General features: G+C 43.3%; 2 long non-coding RNA genes across 5 annotated transcripts in view, besides 1 other annotated feature; one reads left to right on the top strand and one right to left on the bottom strand.

Moving 5' to 3' along the window:
- LYRM4-AS1 (LYRM4 antisense RNA 1) overlaps positions 1-20416 on the bottom strand; it is a 236681-nt gene that overhangs the window by 214476 nt on the left and 1789 nt on the right. For all 3 annotated transcript variants that reach the window (NR_126015.1, NR_126016.1, NR_126017.1), the window contains exon 2: positions 4548-4640. This is a non-coding gene — a long non-coding RNA (LYRM4 antisense RNA 1). The remainder of the gene's footprint in view (positions 1-4547; positions 4641-20416) is intronic.
- LOC124901248 (uncharacterized) lies at positions 38-11683 on the top strand. Of its 2 annotated transcripts, none has more exons than XR_007059422.1 (3): positions 38-151; positions 1244-1344; positions 11490-11683. It is a non-coding gene; the product is annotated as an uncharacterized LOC124901248 (long non-coding RNA). The 2 variants fall into 2 exon arrangements; XR_007059421.1 differs by having other exon boundaries at positions 38-372.
- Positions 18260-18460: a silencer, noted in NCBI's record as "peak5630 fragment used in MPRA reporter construct". NCBI's record gives its function as "represses an SCP1 promoter by STARR-seq MPRAs in K562 erythroleukemia cells {active_cell/tissue: K562}" and the evidence as "EXISTENCE:reporter gene assay evidence [ECO:0000049][PMID:32103011]".

Genomic DNA, 20416 nt, shown 5'->3' with positions numbered 1-20416 from the left:
GGCCTCCTGTCCTGCATTCAGCAAAGAACCTCCTCGAATTTGCATTCGGTGTGACATTGCCATCCAAAACAAAGAGGCCCAAGTGTCTGCGGCTGAGAAAACTCACAAAGACTTTTGTGCGGGGTCTGAAACCGCCAATCCTCAGTTACAAGTGAGTGGAAACAAAGCCGTGGAATAAAGCAGAGACCGAGAGCCAACCCCCTCTTCGGTTATTCTGCAACTCTTGTAGGCCAAATCGCTCGATGTCCCCCAGTTTGTTTGGCATTGTGTGGATGTTTCTTCAGAAGAAAAGCCCGAGGTACCTGATTTACCTCCAAGACTGAGATCAGAACAGGAAGATCTGGGCTTCTGACCCCGCCCTTGGGGAAGAAGGTGAAGTCAGGATTGCTGTCCTTAGATCCCACACCCACCTTCTCTATCTTCCACAACATGAAGGCAGGAGTGCTTCTGCTCTTCTATAAAAATTGGGTGGCAGCAAAATCCTCACTGACTGTTGTTTATGAAAACACAAGTCTTAGTGCAATGTTACCCATATAAACATGGAACCCCAATATGGCCCATCCTTGCCTAGTGTCACCTTCCAAAAAATACTAGCCTGACATAAAGTAAGACTGAAAGCAGTCCAAACCTTTATGTAGTCCTTTGAGGTAATGCTAAGAAGAAACATTTGTTCTTAAGACACAGCAAAACATCTATTAAAAATTATGTCTCTTGATCTCCCCCGCCCCCCACACTCCCTTACCACCACCTTTCAGCCTCCTGAAGACCCTGCCTCTGACACCCTCAACTGTCTAAGACCCAGCCCGCAAGACCCCTCTCTCTCCTCTCTCTCCTTCATTCTCCATTCTCTGCTTCTCTCTCACTCTCTCTCTCTCTCTCTCTTTATAGAGACAGGGTCTCACTCTATCACTCAGGCTGGAGTGCAGTGGCACAATCATGGCTCACTGTATCCTCGAACTCCTGGGCTCAAGTGATCCTCCCACCTCAGCCTCCTGAGTAGCTGGGACTACAGGCATGCACCACCCACATGGCTAATCTTTTTATTTTTGTAGAGACAGGGGTCTTGCTGTGTTGCCCAGGCTGGTCTCAAACTCCTGAGCTCAAGCAATCCTCCCACCTCGGCCTCCCAGAGTGCTGGGATTGCAGGTACGAGCCAACACACCTAGCCTCTGCCTATCTCTATTCTATCATCCATTTAACCTTTCTGGATGCTATAATTTTCTTTTTAAAAAAATTTTCCTAGCACCTGGGTTCTGCGCAAATTATATCCCAGAAACCAGGAATTGATCTAGCAAGAAAGTTGGAGGTGACCAGAGGAGCAGGGAGGAAGAAAACTGTTCAAAGGTAAATATATACAGTTTTTTTGTCCCTCCCTTGTTTGACCTTTGTGGGGCTCTGCCCAAGGGGAGCATGTTTATTGCACCTCCCTGTGAAGCTTTGCCTCAGCCCCATACCCACCTCTGCCTTTTCTCCTTCTGGCAGATCAGGAACCCCAGAACCTGGGAGCAAAGACCCTGGCTTAAGGACTTCCTCCCTCTCTCCTCCAGAGCCTCTGTGTGTAGCAGGCCGAGGGCGCTCACTGTACTGTTTCCTTCAAAGGGGCCTTTGGCCGGTAAATGGCCTATGCTGCCAATCAGAGCCAGCATGGGACAGCCCAGCCCCAAGTCTGAGAAGGCTGGAGGTGTCTCTGGATCGGCACCACCCATATTTGGGGCTTGTGAGAAATCAAGGGAAAGTGGCTAAAGGATTGAAACAATCCCGTTTGTCACCCACCCAACCACACCGAAAGTAAATCAGGGCATGGAGTCCACACGCTGCACCCCAGCATGGCTCTGGGCGCAGAGGGAGCTATCAGGGCTGGGGTGTGTGGCCCTCATTGGCAGTCTGTGAACTTGATGCTTTCACATGCACCCTGCAAGCACGTGCCTGACACGCCTTGCTCTGGACATTTCAGGCCACCATGTTCAGTGGAGGGAGGATGTGTTTTGGAGCTGTTCACATGCTTCCAGCCCCACACGGAGTTAGTGTGTGGCATCCACCTTGGGCCACGGCCCCCACCAAGGTGCTGTTCTGGACCTAGTCTCATGTTGTTGCTGTCTATATTCATCCGTGACTGTGATATGAGATCCCATCGTTGGAGACCCATGGTATGACGTCTAAGGAAAAAGAGCAAGCAGCATTTCCTTCTGGCCCCTTTTAAAACCCCAGAGCGGGTCATGCAGTTGATTTAGGAGTGCAGAGCATCCAGCAGTGTGCCCAGACTTTATTGAGCACTGCTGCCTGTGAACTCAACAAGGGCCTGTAGCCTAGAAAATTGGGGCAAGGCCACAGTAGCCCGGCTAGATGCTGACCCCACCCTGGCAAGGTTGCTTGGGACACTCTGGAAAAGAAGACCACTGCCTACAGGCAGGGCCACTCCACTCGGAACCACCAGAGTTTATCCAGTAAACACTGAAAGGTAAAAAGGGCTGGACACAGGAGACAGAAAATTTTTTCTTTCCCACCTAGAGATATAAGGCATTCTGAACGATTTTGCCATGCTGCACGTGGTGGCTCTGTAATCCCAGCACTTTGGGAGGCCAAGGCCGGCTGATCGCTGGAGCGCAGGAGTTAGAGACCAGCCTGGGCAACATGGCGAAACCCTGTCTCTACCCAAAATACAAAAATTGGTACAAAAGTCAGCAGGGTGTAATGGCATGTGCCTGTAGTCCCAGCTACTTGGAAGACTGACAGGGGAGGATGGCTTGAGCCTGAGAGGTGGAGGTTGCAGTGAGCTGAGATGGCACCACTGCACTCCAGCCTGGGCAACAAGAGCCAGACCCCATTTTAAAAATAAATAAGTAAATAAATAGATAAATAAACGATTTTGCCCAGATAGACAATGAAAAAGGACTGATACTTCAGGCAAGGGGTCTAAGTGCATTGTTACACATGGTTAGACAGGGGCTTCTAAATGTGCTCTTGGATCTAAATCGCGGGAGAGACTGCGATTACTCTTTAACTGCAAACCTCAATCTGTGGGAGGTGGAGTGGGAGTCTTTGAAGCCCAAGGAGGAAAAAGCAACCCAGATATGGGGGAAAAAAATAAGAGCTAAATAAATAACGTGTCTATAATATTTTTAAATTTTAAAATTTATATGTATTTACATATACAAAGGTCCACAATTTAACCCAATTGGAAATCCAAAAATTTCCAATTCGTAGACTTAATCAATGCAGAAGCTCAAATTATACTTTGAGATGCCACTAAGTTTAAACACTGTACTCCCGATAATCTTAGGAAAGCAAATATAAAATAGAGGAAATATAGGTGTGGCACACTTTATACTCTTGCCTAACTATCCCATAGTCATAGTAGCCATTGCCCTAAAATATCTGATATTAGGAACAGATGTGCTAACACAATGAATAATAAATTTAAAAAGTCAAATTTTTGGCACTTACAAATTGGCTTGATTAAAATGGGATCCCAGCGGCTGCGCACGGTAGCTCGCACTTGTAATCCTAACACTTTGGGAGGCCGAGGCAGGCAGATCACCTGAGGTCAGGAGTTCAGGACCAGTCTGGCCAACATGACGAAACCCCTTCTCTACTAAAAATACAAAAAATAGCCAGGCGTCATGGTGGCTGCCTGAACTATAATCCCAGCTACTTGGGAGGTTGAGGCAGGAGAATGGCTTGAACCCAAGAGACAGAGGTTGCAGCAAGCCGAGATCGCACCACTGCACTCCAGCCAGGGCAATAGACGGAGACTCCCTCTCAAAAAAATAAATAAATAAATAAAAAATAAAAATAACAAAATGGGATCCCACAGATCCACAGTTAAAATAGTTAATATAGCCTTACGTAAGTTAAGACAGGGATTAAAACGTATGTAGTATCTACCTAAAAGAAAGGAAATCAATATATGGAAGAGATTCTGCACTCCACGTCTAGTGCAGTACTCTTCATGATCGCCAAAATTTGGCCAGGTGCAGTGGCTCACATCTGTAATCCCGGCACTTTGGGAGGCTGAGACGAGCAGATCACTTGAGGCCAGGAGTTTGAGACCAGCCTGGCCAACATGGCAAAATGCTGTCTCTACCAAAAATACAGAAAATATCTGGGCATGGTGGCACACGCCTGTAGTCCTAGCTAATCAGGAGGGTGAGGCAGGAGAATTGCTTAAACCCGGGAGGTAGAGGTTGCAGTGAGCCGAGATTGTGCCCATCAACAGATGAATGAAGAAAAAAAACGTGATACACACACACACACACACACACACACACCAGAATATTATACAGCCATAGAAAGAAATGAAATCTTGTCATTTGCAGTAATGTAATGTGGATGGAGCTGGAGGCTGTTATCCCAAGTGAAATAACTCAGAAACAGAAAATCAAATACTGCATGTTCTCAGTCACGTGAAACTGAAGAAAGTGGATCTCATGAAGATATACTCTATCCAGTAGTTACGAGGCCAGGAAGGGTAGTGAGAAGGAGGGAGGGTGAAGAGAGGTTGACTAATGGGTACAAAAATACAAGTAGCTAGACACGGTGGCTCATACCTTTAATCTCAGCACTTTGGGAGGCCACGGTGGGTGGATCACTTGAGCTCAGGAGTTTGAGACCAGTCTGGGCAACACAGCAAGACCCCATCTCTACAAAAAATACAAAAAAATTAAAAATATATTTAAGAAATTAATGCTGACAGATCAATTAGATAGCCATGTGTAAAAAGAAAATCTTGAAACACATCCTAAACCACCCACAAAAATCAATTTCAGAAGGAATGTGGCTTTAAACATAAATATTAAAAAATAAAATAAATTATTTTTATAACTTTGAGTAGGGAAATATTTTTTAAACAGATAACAAAAACCAATAGCTATAAAGAAAGAGATTGATAAATTAGACCGCATTCAAATTAATAATTTTTATTTATCAAAAGACCATTAAGAAAGTGAAGAGGCAAGTTTTAGAGTGGGAGAAAATATATACATACAGGTAACAGACAAAGGAATCACAACCAGAATGTGTAGAGAACTCCTATAAACAATAAGAAAAAGACAAATAATAGAAAAATGAGTAGAAGGCTGAATAGATAATTTATTAAAAATCATCTCCAAATGTGTTCAATTTCCTCAATAATCATGTAAATGCAAATGAAAATCAATGAGATATCACCACACATCCTCCAGAATAGCTAAATTAAAGGAGACTGATGGGGATTCCTGGCAAGATATCTGAATAGGAACAGCTCCAGCCTGCAGCTTCCAGCAAGATCAACAAAGAAGATGGGTGTTTTCTGCATTTCCACCTGAGGTACCTGGTTCATCTCAATGGGACTGGTTGGACAGTGGGTGCAGCCCGTGGAGGGTGAGCCAAAGCAGGGCGAGGTGTCACCTCACCCAGGAAGCGCAAGGAGTTGGGGGATTTCCCTTTCCTAACCAAGGGAAGCCGTGAGAGAATGTACTGGGAGGAACAGTACACTACTGCCCAGATACTGTGCTTTTCCCATGGTCTTTGCAACCGGCAGACCAGGAGATTCCCTCTGGTGCCTGGCTTGGTGTGTCCCACGCCCACGGAGCCCAACAAGCTACGATCAATTGGCTTGAAATTCTCGCTGCTAGTGCAGCAATCTGAGATCAACCTGGGATGTTGGAGCTTGGAGCGGGGAGGGGCATCCACCATTGCTGAGGCTTGTAGACGGTTTTTTGCTCACAGTGTAAACAAAGCTTCTGAGAAATTCAAACCAGGCAGAGCCCACTGTGCTCAGCAAGGCCAACGGCCTCTCTAGATTCCACATCTCTGGGCAGGGCATCTCTGAACAGAAGGCAGCAGCCACAGTCAGGGACTTACAGATAAAGCCCCCATCTCCCTGGGACAGAGCACCTAGGGGAAGGGGCAGCTGTGGGCACAGCTTCAGGGACTTAAACGTCCCTGGCTGACAGCTCTGGAGAGAGAAGTGGTTCTCCCAGCACAGCATTCGAGCTCTGATAATGGACAGACTGCCTCCTCAAGTGGGTCACTGACCCTCGTGTAGCCTGACTGGGAGACACCTCCCAATAGGGGCCAACGGACACCTCATACAGGAGAGCTCTGGCTGGCAACTGGTGGGTGCCCCTCTCGGATGAAGCTTCCAGATGAAGGATCAGGCAGCAAACTTTGTTGTTCTGCAGCCTCCACTGGTGATACCCAGGAAAACAGGGTCTGGAGTGGAGCAAACTCCAACAGACCTGCAGCTGAGAGGTCTGACTGTTAGAAGAAAAACTAACAAACGAAAGGAATAGCATCAACATCAACAAAAAAGACATCCACACCAAAACCCCATCTGTAGGTCACCAAATCAAAGACCAAAAGTAGATAAAACCACAAACATGGGGAGAAACCAGCGCAGAAAGGCTGAAAATTCCAAAAAGCAGAATGCCTCTCCTCCTCCAAAGGATCACAACTCCTCGGCAGCAAGGGAACAAAACTGGAGGGAGAATGAGGTGGAAGAATTGACAGAAGTAGGCTACAGAAGGTCGGTAATAACAGACTCCTCTGAGCTAAAGGGGCATATTCTAACCCACCACAAGGAAGCTAAGAACCTTGAAAAAAGGTTAGATGAATTGCTAACTAGAATAAGCAGTGTAGAGAAGACTATAAATGACCTGATGGAGCTGAAAAACACAACACGAGAATTTCGTGAAGCATACAAAAGCTTCAATAGCCAAATCAATCATGTGGAAGAAAGGATATCAGTGACTGAAGATTGACTTAATGAAATAAAGCAAGAAGACAAGATCAGAGAAAAACAGAGTGAGAAGAAATGAACAAAGCCTCCAAGAAATATGGGACTAGGTGAAAAGACCAAATCTACATTTGATTGGTGTACCTGAAAGTGATGGGGAGAATGGACCAAGTTGGAAAACACTCTTCAGGATATTATCCAGGAGAACTTACCCAACCTAGCAAGGCAGGCCAATATTCAAATTCAGGAAATACAGAGAACACCATAAAGATACTCCTCGAGAAGAGCAACCCCAAGACACATAATCATCAGATTCAACAAAGTTGAAATGAAGGAAAAAATGTTAAGGGCAGCCAGGGAGAAAGGTCGGGTTACTCACAAAGGGAAGCCCATCAGACTAACAGCAGATCTCTCTACAGAAACCCTACAAGCCAGAAGAGAGTGAGAGCCAATACTCAACATTCTTAAAGAAAAGAATTTTCAACCTAGAATTTCATATCCAGCCAAACTAAGCTTCATAAGTGAAGGAGAAATAAAATCCTTTACAGATAAGCAAATGCTGAGAGATTTTGTCACCATTAGGCCTGCCTTACAAGAGCTCCTGAAGGAAGCACTAAACATGGAAATGAACAACTGGTACCAGTCACTGCAAAAACATGCCGAATTTTAAAGACCATCAACATTATGAAGAAACTGCATCAACTAATGGGCAAAATAACCAGCTAACATCATAATGACAGGATCAAATTCACACATAACAATCTTAACCTTAAATGTAATTGGTCTAAATGCCCCAATTAAAAGACACAGACTGCATCAGTGTGCTGTATTCAGGAGACCCACTTCACGTGAAAAAACACACATAGGGTCAAAATAAAGGGATGGAGGAAGATCTACAAAGCAAATGGAAAAAAAAAAAAAAAAAAAAGCAGGGGTTGCAATCCTAGTCTCTGATAAAACAGACTTTAAACCAACAAAGACCAAAAGAGAAAAAGAAGGGCATTACATAATGGTAAAGGGATCAATGCAACAAGAAGAGCTAACTATCCTAAATATATATGCACCCCATACAGGAGCACTCAGATTCATAAAGCAAGTACTTAGAGACCTACAAAGAGACTTAGACTCCCACAGAATAATATTGGGAGACTTTGATACCCCACTGTCAATATTAGACAGATCAGTGAGACAGAAAATTAACAAGGATATCCAGGACTTGAACTCAGCTCTGGACCAAGCGGACCTAACAGACATCTACAGAACTCTCCACCCCAAATCAACAGAATATACATTCTTCTCAGCACCATATCGCACTTATTCTAAAATTGACCACTTAATTGGAAGTAAAGCACTCCTCAGCAAACGTAAAAGAGCAGACATCACAACAAACTGTCTCGCAGACCACAGTACAACCAAATTAGAAATCAGAATTAAGAAACTCACTAAAAACCGCACAACTACATGGAAATTGAACAACCTGCTCCTGAATGACTACTGGGTAAATAACGAAATGAAGGCAGAAATAAATGTTTTTGGAAACCAATGAGAACAAAGACACAATGTACCAGAATCTCTGGGACACATTTAAAGCAGTGTGTAGAGAGTAATTTATAGCACTAAATGCCCACAAGAGAAAGCAGGAAAGATCTAAAATCGACACCCTAACATCACAATTAAAAGAACTAGAGAAGTAACAGCAAACAAATTCAAAAGCTAGCAGAAGACAAGAAATAACTAAGGTTAGAGCAGAACTGAAGGAGATAGAGACATGAAAAATCCTTCAAAAAATTAAAGATTCTAGGAGCTGGTTTTTTGACCCATAGCTGCAACCTTTACATTTAGATACTGCAGTGGGCATAGTGAGTTCTCCATGAGTTCACAGTGCAATGTACATAGTGAGTTCTCTGCAAGTTCAAAGTGCAATGGACATAGTGAGTTCTCTGTGAGTTTACAGTGCAATGGACACAGTGAGTTCTTTGTGAGTTCACTGTGGAATATGCGCAGTGAATTCTCTGTGAGTTCATAGTGCAATGGACTTAGTGAGTTCTCTGGCTCATGGAAGGGAGGAATCTACTCCAAAGACTAGGGGCAAAACTATAAATGAAAACTGAGGCTGGGCGTGGTGGCTCATGCCTGTAATCCCAGCACTTTGGGAGGCCAAGGCAGGTGGATCACCTGAGGTCAGGAGTTCGAGACCAGCCTGGCCAACATGGTGAAACTCTGTCTCTACTAAAATTAGCTGGGCATGGTGATGGCCACCCATAATTCCAGCTACTTGGGAGGCTGAGGCAAGAAGAAGAATTGCTTGAACCCAGGAGGTGGAGGTTGTGTTGAGCCAAGGTTGGGCCACTGCACTCCAGCCTGGGTGACAGAGTGAGACCCTGTGTTGGGGAAAAAAATAATAGATGTCATACATAGTATATTCCCTGACCACAACAGGATGAAGTTAGAAATCAATAATAGAAGGAAAACTAAAAAAATTAAGCAATACATTCATAAACAACCACAGGTCAAAGAAGAAATCAAGGGAAATTAGAAAGTACTAGAGACCAGTGAAAATGAAGACAGCATACTAAAACTTATGAGACACTTTGAAAGCAATCCTAAGCGGGAAATTTATAGCTGTATTACATTAAAAAGGAAGAAAGATTTCAAATCAACAACCAAACTTTACAACTTAAGAAATGAGAAAAAGAACTACATCCAAAGTTAGAAGGAGGAAATAGTAAAGATTAGAGCAGAGATAAATAATGGAGAATAGAAAAACACAAGAAAATCAACAAACCCAAGAGTCAGTTCTTCAAGAAGATTAACAAAATTGACAAACCTTTAGTTTGACTAAGAAAAAAGGACAGAAGAAACAAGTTACTAAAATCAAAATTAAAGTGGGGACATGACTATCAATTCTAGAGAAATAAAAAGGATTATAAGGGTGCACTGTCAACAACTATATGCCAACAAACTGGACAACCTAGATAAAATGGGCAAATTCCTAGAGACACAAAATACTGAATTGCAAAGAAATACAAAATCTGAATAGATCCATCATTAAGGGGACTGAATCGGTAATCAAAAACCTCCTGACCAAAAACAAACAGCCCTGAACCCGTTGGCTTCACTGGTGAATTCTACCAAACCTTTAATGGAGAACACCGATCTTCTTCAAACTCTTTTAAAAAATTGAAGAGAGCACTTCCAAACCCAAGTGATGAGGCCAGGCAGCGTCATGCTGACACAAAAATCCTAACTCAGTATCTGAGAATAACAGCAGCATTTTTTAAAAAGTGGAATACATTCACTTATGGTGTCATCACATGGATTTTAAAATTCCAAGATATCTATTCATGTTCTCTCAGGCGACCACCCAGATATTTGCATTTTTGCCTCAGTTCGCTAAATGGCATGGTTTTGAGTTTTTATAATACATTTTTTTTTTCCCCAGCAAAGTCCTCCCCCAACAATGATGCTCACCAAGGCCATGGCACCTAGCACACTGTCCTGCACATAAAATGCCCTCAAAACCCATGGAATGGGGTTGATCCAGGAATAAAACAAGCAGTAGAGATCGGTTTGTGCAAAGATAGTAAGTAGGTACCACAAATAAGACGGAAAGCCTACAATTCAGCAGCAAACATTTTACATTTATTTGAGAAATTATTTGCAACTAGGTCATCAAAAGATACTGGTTTAAAGCAGTGGGTTTGCAGCCTTGACCACACAATATAATCACATGGAGAGCTTTAAACAACACTGCTGCCTGGGTCCCACTCCAGGGAATCCAATTTAACAGGTCTGTTGTAGTTTGGGTTTTGGGAATTTTAAAAGCTCCCCAGGTGATTTTAATGTGCAGCCATGGATATGGATCACTGGTTCAGGGTGAGAGATACATTAGCTGTGTGTGATTTTCATGTGTGCCCCATGGCAGTTCCTCAGTTTGGGGTCTTGGATACAGCTTTGCCCTGTTAAAATCAAAGGACTGCTTCAATACACAGTCAGCTGTTTGGCTAAACTGCAGCAGGTGGAAATGTCTTCTCAGCAGATCTATCTTTATGTTGCTTGCTTTTCAGAGTAAGAGGTTGTTTCAGGCACAGTTTGATTTAGCTTGCTTTGAAAATCATAAATAGCCTACAAATACCAAAAATGGATGAAAAGAATTTGCAAACATATGGAGTGCATTATATATGTTTTCAAATTTCCCCTATAATTAGAAATAAAAAATATATTGCTGGAGCCTTGATTCCTAAACTCAGCCCTCAGCTGTTTCCCTAAGTTATTTTAAGTTCTTCCAAGACAGTTCAGCTTTCTCTGGAGGGAATTATACCCAATGGGTATAAGTGAAGAGCCCTAGATGGGCATTTACGGAAGTGTCACTCTCCAGAATCTTGAAGGCCTAGGGGAGATGCATGAGTACTATGGTCTATACAGGTGTCTGGGCTTTGGAGTCAAGTATAGTTGATACTACTGAGTCACAGTCTAGTCACTTAGTAACTTCAAGGTTTTGAATTTGATCTGGAACTATTAGGTAAATCTCACCTGCAAGAAAAGGCATAATGATACTGATTGAAAAAATAATAGCAATTCTTCATACTTCCCTATCTATGCCCTTTGCAATGAGATTTTATAGCTGCTCCCATAAACAGACAGAATTTGTTTCCCCCAGTCTTGTATCTGGGTTGCCTTATTTACTCTGGCCAACAGAATGCAGAGAGTATGACAGTGTGCCAGTTTCAGGGTTAGGCTCAAAGATCTTGAATGCTTCTGTTTTTTCTTTCAGAACCCCGCCATCTCCATGAAAACAAGCCCATGTTAGCCTGCTGGAGGAAGAGATACCATAAGCAGGAGAACCAAGGTACCCCAGTTGACAGCCAGCTCACCCCCAGAAGCAGAGCTAAACATACACACATACACACACCACACACATAGAGCTGAGTTGAGACCAGAAGAATGGCCCAGCTGAGCCCAGCCTAAATTGCTAACCAGCTCAATTATGAGCTAATTAAGTTCTGGGATGGTTTGTTATGTAGCAATAGCTAACTCATACACACACCCATTGCAGATGGGACTCAATGACATGTTGATTACAAGTTACTGGTAAACAGCAGGCCCCCTCTATGTTCTGATTTCCTTTCCCTCTTACTAAAGTTGGATCTCTTGGGTTGTACAGAAATGCATATAGACATGTGTGTATGTGACTGGTGCTTCAGCTCACACATTTCCCCACTCCAAAGAGGAAACAGACAATCATAGCTTGGCCACTCAGGCCCCAAGGCCAAATTGCAAAATAAGAAATTTGCTTTTCCAGATGCAGTGGCTCATGCCTGTAATCCCAGCACTTTGGGAGGCCAAGGTGGATGATCACTTGAGTCCAGGAGTTCAAGACCAGCCTGGGAAACATAGCGAGACCCAGTCTCTACAAAAAGTACAAAAATTAGCCAGGTGTGGTGGCACACACCTGTAGTCCCAGCTACTCAGGAGGCTGATGTTGAAGGATCACTTGAACCTGGGGAGCAGAGGTTGCAGTGAACTGAGACTGCACCCCAGCCTGAGTGATAGAGTGAGACCCCGTCTCCAAGGCAATAACAACAATGACAAAGTTTGTTTTTAGTCTATTCCTCCCATATCTAAAGTCTGCAGGTCAAAGCTGTGAATAGATTGGAAGCCATGAGATTCCCTTCTCCTGGGAACCCATCGTCCTTTGATCACTTCCATTTTTCACAGATTCTCTTCTTCTGATGTGATTAGGTAATGAGGCCAAGATTAAATTTGAAGCTCTCAGAGACCACAGGATTTTTCTTTCCAAGGCTTACCAGCACTTTTAGTTTCTAACATCACAAATACTAATTGTGGCCCAGTGCAGTGACTCACACCTGTAATCCCGGCACTCTGGGAGGCTGAAGTGGGTGGACTGCTTGAGCCCAGGAGTTCAAGACCAGCCTGGGCAACATGGTGAAACCTCATCTCTACAAAAAATACAAAAATTAGCTGGGTATAGTGGTGTGTGCTTGTAGTCCCATGTACTTGAGAGGCTGAGGTGAGAGAATCACCTGAGCCTGGGAGTTAAGGTTGCAGTGAGCTGTGATCGTGCCACTGCACTCCAGCCTGGGCGACAGAGTGAGACCTTGTCTCAAAAAAAAAAGAAACACTAATTGCAGGACACAACTGGGACAAAGAACATGATGAATTGAACCTGAATTCTCACTGCACCTAATATTCACAAGCATGTACATTACTAAACAGTGACATATCTCCCAACAATTCCAGCAAGTTCCCAAGACTTGTCATCCACACCAGGTATTAGACTGAGAGGGTGCCCCTCTACTTGTAACTGGGATTAAAATGGGACTGGTTTGATGAATTCAGGGAGACAGAGGCTAAAATATTACGAACGGAGCAAAGCTTTATAGACACATTAAATAAAAACAGCTCTAGTGAAAGCAGTGCAATGGCCAAGGTTAGCTGACTCAAGGCAACTTCCTTTTTCTTTTCCAATAAACAACATTTTCAGGGAGAGAAGCCCAGGCTGGATGTAAGAATGCTTTGATGACTGCTCAGGAACATGACTGAATTCAAGATGAATAAAAGAGATAAAATCCACATTTTAATTGTAAACAAATGTGTCCCTGAAAAAAACTCAGATCCAAAAGTCTATGTATGTGTTAATCAAATGCAAGAAAATTTTACAGTGTGCGTCACTTATTATGTATTTCTTTTTCTCAACCCCTCCCGTTTTTCAAACATCTAAAGTTACTAAGTATGTACTTACTTTCTAGGGAGGAAAAAAACCCAAAAATAGAATACCTCCCATTGACTTCAGTGTGAACATTAATACTGGAAAATTAGATTTTCGTTTCCTATTTTGTCTGTATTGTTACCTTTTAAAAAGACAAAGATGCAGAGTTTTATATGTGAGATAGAACATTGTTTTTTTATTTTTAATTGTGGTAAACTACACATAAAATTTACCATCTTAACAATTTTTTTTTTGAGACAGGGTCTCCCTGTCACCTAGGCTGGAGTGCAGAGGCACAATCACGACTCACTTGACTTCCCTCACTTGGGAGGCTGAGGTGTGAGGATCGCTGGAGCCTTGACTTCCCAGGCTCCAGTGATCCTCCTACCTCAGCCTCCCAAGTAGCTGGGATCACAGGTGCGTGCAACCCATGCCCGGCTAATTTTTGTATTTTTTGTAGAGACGGGTTTTTGCCATGTTGCTCAGGCTGGTCTTGAACTCCTGAGCTCTAGCAATCCACCCTTCAGCCTTGCAAAGTGCTGGGATTACAGGTGTGAGCCACCAGACCCGGCCTCCATCTTAACTATTTTTAAGTGTACAGTTCATCAGTGTCAAGGGTGTTCACATAGTTGTACAACCAATCTCCAGAGCTTTTTCATCTTGAAAAACAGAAACTCTAGATCCATTCAAAAACTGCACTTTTTGGTAAAAACAAAACAAAACAAAACAAAACTCTGAATGTAAAATGCTTCATTTCTTCACTTATTAGTCAATAATTGCAGTGTTCGCATTCTATGCAGAATACCCTTCCAGGAACTAGGAACTGTGGAGAGATGGAAAAGAGATAACAAATGCACCTATGAGATGGAAGGTCCCCGGAAGGCAGGGACGGGGCGACCCTGTATCTCTGGTTCTCCCTAAAGTTCCGCACCTAGTGCTGTGGCCTTCCGTGTGCACATCCATGCCCCCCGTGTCCAGACTCCCTGCTTGAGCCTGAGCCCCGCCAGCCCCAGCTCCCGCCTGTGAGGGGATATCCAGGCTCCTGGGGCCCACGTCTCCAGGTGCTGGAATTTGGGGATTTATGGCGTGATGTTCTTCCCACATCCCTTTCATCCTTCCGCTCAGTGCCTGCACTGGCCAGTACCGGCCTTTCCTTGCCCACAGCTCTGCTTATTCTGCTCCAAGCAGCTCCCCTCCCTTCCTCCTTCCTCCTGCTGTGTCTCTTTTCAATATGTGTGTTCCCTTCCCTCAGTAGAATAACTCTTCTTCCACTCCCTGTCTCATTCACTGGGAACCAAAAATCCACTCCATGGCATAGCACTCCCAGTTTTGAAAAAAGTTGCTGAGATCGCGCCACTGCACTCCAGCCTGGCCAACAGAGTCAGACTCTGTCTCAAAAAAAAAACAAAAAAAACAAAAAAACAAGGTCACATTCTGGAACAAAAACCAGCGTCATCCACCTCTAGAGATGTTAGAAGTAATTGAAAGTCCTTTAGGATCTCCAAAAAAACTTTTCTTTCTCATTTCCTTCTGGCTCACGCCTATAATCCCAGCACTTTGGGAGGCCGAGACGGGCAGATCATGAGGTCAAGAGTTTGAGACCAGCCTGGCCAACACAGTGAAACCCCGTCTTTATTAAAAACACAAAAATCAGCCGGGTGTGGTGGCATGCACCTGCAGTCTCAGCTACTCAGGAGGCTGAGGTGGGAGAATCGCTTGAACCCGGGAGGCAGAGGTTGCAGTGAGCTGAGACCATACCATTGCACTCCAGCCTGGGTGACAGAGTAAGATGCCATCTCGAAAAAAAAAATTCCTTCTAATTAAACTATTTTCCTCAAGCACCAGTATTCAAGATAAAAAATTTTTTAAAACAATTATGATGGTAATAAAAGGAATAAAGTACTGACACAATGCTGCAACTTGAATGAACCTTGAAGATATTTTGCTATGTGAAAGAAGGCAGTCACAAAAGTCCACATAGTATATGATTCCTTTTATATGAAATGTCCAGAAAAGACAAATTTACAGAAAGTATATTAGTGGTTGCTTAGGGCTGGAGGAAGGGATAGGAGGGTGACAGCTAAAGGATACGGGGTTTACGCGTTGTGGCTCACGCCTGTAATCCCAGCACTTCACGGGGCCGAGGCGGGTGGTCCCTTGAGCTCAGGAGCTCGAGACCAGCGTGAGCAACATGGCGAAACCCCATCTCTACAAAAAAAAAAAAAAAAAAAAAAAATTAGCTGGGCAGAGTGGGGCGTACCTGTAGTCCCAGCTACTCAGGAGGCTGAGGCAGGATTGCTTGAGCCCAGGAGTTCAAGGCTGCAGTGAGCCAAGACTGCACTCTAGCCTGGGTGACAGAATGATACTCTGTCTCAAAAAAAAAAAAGTTATAAAACTGACTGTGGTGTTGGCTGCACATATCCGTGAATATATTAAAAACCACTGAATTGTACAGTCTAAATAAGCAAAATGTAAGGTCTGTTAACTATATCTCAAGACAGCTGTTCAAAAAATTTTTTAAATTATGAACTATTTTATATACACAAAATTGTATATGTATACATATATGATATAAAGAAAAATAAAATAAATACTCTGCACCTATCATCTGCCTAATAAATACAATTTCACCACCACCCACGAAGCCTTCTGCATGGCCTCTCCCAAATATAACCCTTTGCCTCCCCATCTAGGAGAACCATTCATCTAAAGTTTAAAAATTATTCCTGGCCAGGTTGGTGGCCCACAACTGTAGTCCCAGCTACTAGGGGTGGAGACGCTGAGGTGGAGGATCGCTTGAGCGCAGAAGGTGGAGGCTGCAGTGAGCTGAGACTGCACCACTGCACTCCAGCCTGGGTGACAGAGTGAGACACTACCTCAAAAAAAAAAAATTCCTTTGACTATCATTACAGTTTTACTATATATGTACATATGTCTAAACAATACAGTTTAACTTTGTAAGTTTTTAAACTTTTCTATAAATGTATCCGTTACACTTGCAAAATGCATTTTTCAGTCAACACTGTTTTTAAGAGCCTTCTGTGTTTTATTCAATTCTATGTATTGTTTACGAACCAACAATACTCTAAATTGAAGATACTGAAATCTACCTCACAAAGGATTCATGTGAGATAATGAATATAAAATGCTTATAGCAGTGCCTGATTCATTATAGGTATTATATATGTAAAATACTATATGTTAATAATTGTGTATATTATAGCAATTGTCCTTTCTCTGTGAATGTGTATTAATATTCTTTCATCAACTACATTAGCCCTTAACAGTTTTCAAAATGTAGTAAAATCCAAGTTACACAGGCCTTTGGGAAATGCCTCATTCTAGATATTGAAAGTTTCTGTATAGCTAAGATTTGAGTTTTTCGTGTACCAATTCATTTTCATGTACCAATTCATATACCAATGTTATGTTTTTAAATTTAAACAAATTAAAAGAATGATCTTTATGAAAAAATTTCAGCCATTTCCAAATTCTCTTCCAAATTTCTTTATGAGCATGTGTGACAAAGCTTTAATCAGACCACAGACTGTTTTGTGTTCTGCTTTTTTTTGAGACAGGGTCTTGTTCTGCCACCTGGGCTGGGGTACAACGGCGTGATCATAGCTCACTGCAGCTTCAAAGTTCCAGACTCAAGTGATCCTGCCACCTCAGCCTCCTGAGTAGCTGGGACTACAGGCATGCGCCATCAGGCCCAGCTAATTTATTTTTATTTTTATAGAGACAAGGTCTCACCATGTTGCCCAGGCTGGTCTCCAACTCCTGGGCTCAAGCAATCCTCCCACCTCAGCCTCCCAAAGTGTTAGGATTACAGGCATGAGCCACCATGCCTGGCCATGTTCTGCTTTTAAGGCATGACTTCATTTGTGCACCTCCGTACAGCGATATGGCCTATGGAGCTGCCATGGTTAATGTTTGTGTCCTTCACTGATCTCCACTCCAGTCACGGAGAGAGCAGCCCAGGAGAAAATGACACTGTCTAGTTCTTAGGTGGGTCATACATTCTTCTTGGGGGCTGTCTTAGTCCATTTGTGCTGCTATAAGGGAACATCATAAAATGGGTAACTTATAAACAACAGACTTTTCTTTCTCACAGTTGTGGAGGCTGGGAAGTCCAAGATCAAGGCACTGGCAGATTCAGTGTCTGGGGAGGGGCCGCTTTCTTGTTCATTAGATGGCATCTTCTCCCTCTGTCCTCATATAGAAGGAGGGGAAAGGCAGCTCTCTGAGGCTTCCTTTATAAGTGCATGAATCCCATTTCTAACCTCCCAAATGCCCTACCTCCTCATACCATCACATTGGTGATTGCATTTCAATACATGAGCTTTGGGGGAACACAAACATTCAGACCATAGCAGGGGCCATTATTATTATTATTATTATTTTATTATTATTTTTGAGATGGAGCCTCACTCTGTTGCCCAGGCTGGAATGCAGTGGCACCATCTCGGCTCAGTGCAACTGCCGCCTCCCGGGTTCAAGCAATTCTCCTGCCTCAGCCTCCTGAGTAGCTGGGATTACAGGCATGCGCCACCACACCCGGTTAACTTTTGTATTTTTCGTAGAGACAGAGTTTCACCATGTTGGCCAGACTGGTCTCGAACTCCTGACCTCAAGTGATCCACCCGCTTTGGCCTCCCAAAGTGCTGGGACTACAGGCATGAGCCACCGTGTGTGGCCCACAGGCCATTAATTTTCTCCATTGCAGCCATTGGTGCCAGTTTCCACTCTGCTGTCTGAGGGCAGTTTCAATCTGTAAGCCAACACCAGTTGATTTGTAGCAGCTGCCTAGAACCCTGTGCTGACAGGAACTGTGAGGTCAAGTTCAGGTTCAGCAGGAGGGCGGCCTCTGATTTAGCACAGTTGTCTGCAATAGATACATTTCCCTGCAGTCTGCTCCTAACTGTAAAGAGATGATGTTAAACAACTCCAGGGCAGTGCTAGGATCCTAATGAACATAACCTGATCACTCCCTGTGTTTCTGAGTCAGACAGCTGTCTCCTTTCACCAATACGGCCTGTATATGGTTATGATACATTTACAAGCACAGAAGTTTATGGACACTGTCATTGTGTTTTGGATTTGCACCCTGACCCAGGCATTAATTTATTTAAAAGAATATTTTAACATTGTCAAAGAGTTGAGCATCTTTAAATTGTTTCTTTCTCTGTTTTTTTTTTTTGTTGTTGTTTTTGTTTGTTTTTTTGAGACAGAGTCTCACTCTGTTGCCAGGCTGGAGTGCAGTGGCAAGATCTTGGCTCACTGTAACCTCCACCTCCCGGGTTCAAGTGATTCTCCTGCCTCAGCCTCCCAAGTAGCTGGGACTACAGGCGCATGCCACCACACCCAGCTAGTTTTTGTATTTTTAGTAGAGACAGGGTTTCACCATGTTGGCCAGGATGGTCTCGATCTCTTGACCTCGTGATCCACCCGCTTTGGCTTCCCAAAGTGCTGGGATTACAGGCATGAGCCACAGCACCCGGCCAATTCTGTTTCTGTTCTTTCTAACTTTATTGCATTATGGCCCGGAAATGGGATGTGTAAAATTTTTGTCCTTTTATATTTACTAAGTCTATATTTTTTTGTTTTCAGAATATGATCAAAGATATTTCTATTTCTTTGCAAGTCTATTAGCTCAGATTTTTCAAAATTATGTTACTATTTTGGGTATACATATAGATATGTTTTGTTTCATGTGCTTTTTTTTTTTTTTAACCATTTCTGGCTTTTCCATCTTGCACTTTTCCTTCCATACCCTGTGCTCTAGATTCTATGATCTAATATCTGTTTGTCAGTTAAGACTGCTTTCAGCTCTAGAGACCAGAAAATCTGACAGACAGAGTGTGAATAAGCAAGGGAAGGAGATGAGGCTGAAGAGGCAGGCTCAGGCCAATGTGTAAGCTTTTATTCCATCACAGTGAGAAGCCAGTGGTAGGGTCTAAATGGGGCTGTGGGGGTATATTATGTTTTTCATGTTTTTAAGAGATCACTCTGGATGCTGAGTGGAGAATGGACTGTGGGAGGGCAAGAGAGGCAGCAAGGAGAAGGTTTGGAGGCAGTCTTGGGCAGCAGGCCAGTAAGTGACGAAGGTGGCTGAAACTGGCTGTAGAAACGCAGAGAGCAAGAAGAGGCTGCAATCAGGATGCGTGCTGCAGGCAGGGCCACAAGACTTACTGTGGGATTGCATGGCGGGTGAGAAGGGAAGAAGTCAGGGGTGAGTCCTTGTACTAGAGTCATCTGGATACTCCGCTCAGGGAAGAGGCGCCACATCTAGGGGTTATCAGCAGCCAGAGAGGAGGACTTAAAGCTGCAAGACTCTGTGGGGTCTCTCTTGAGAAGAGGGCAGTTTATATCTCTCAATACATTTTTCAGCTGATATTTACATAGATAGAATTTATTTTGCATCTTCAAAATATGCAACATTTTAAACTAAATGGTTTGCTGGAAAAGCTTCACGGTGCTTCCAAATACAATTGGTAGACCATCAGGATCACACCAGTCACTTTGTGGAGTTTTGGAATGTCGACAAAGGAGAGGTACATCCGTGATGTTTCAGTCTTGGGCCACTGCTACCACACACAAAGCAACTGTCTGGTGACAATTACATTAAATATGAGGTGACCAAGAAGCAATGCTTTAAGCCTTTTACATCTTAACATGTTATTAGTAGCTGTTATTTATAAAACATCTAGCTGCCATATTGTGATCTAGGAAATTAGTAGGGTTTTTTTTAATTAACTTGCCACGCCTTATAATTCTGCTGTTTAAAATAATGGGAAACAGGTTCTCATTAGGTTTTTCCTTGGAAAGAAAATGTGACATTTCAGTCATAGATTACATTTTGACTTTTTTTTTTTTTTTGAGACAGAGTCTCACTCTGTCGCCCAGCCTAGAAGTGCAGTGGCGAGATCTTGACTCACTGCAACCTCTGCCTCCCAGGTTCGAGTGATTCT

Source organism: Homo sapiens, chromosome 6 (genome assembly GCF_000001405.40).
Source record: "Homo sapiens chromosome 6, GRCh38.p14 Primary Assembly".
Taxonomy (NCBI): domain Eukaryota; kingdom Metazoa; phylum Chordata; class Mammalia; order Primates; family Hominidae; genus Homo; species Homo sapiens.
This window is presented reverse-complemented; position numbering and strand designations above follow the sequence as displayed.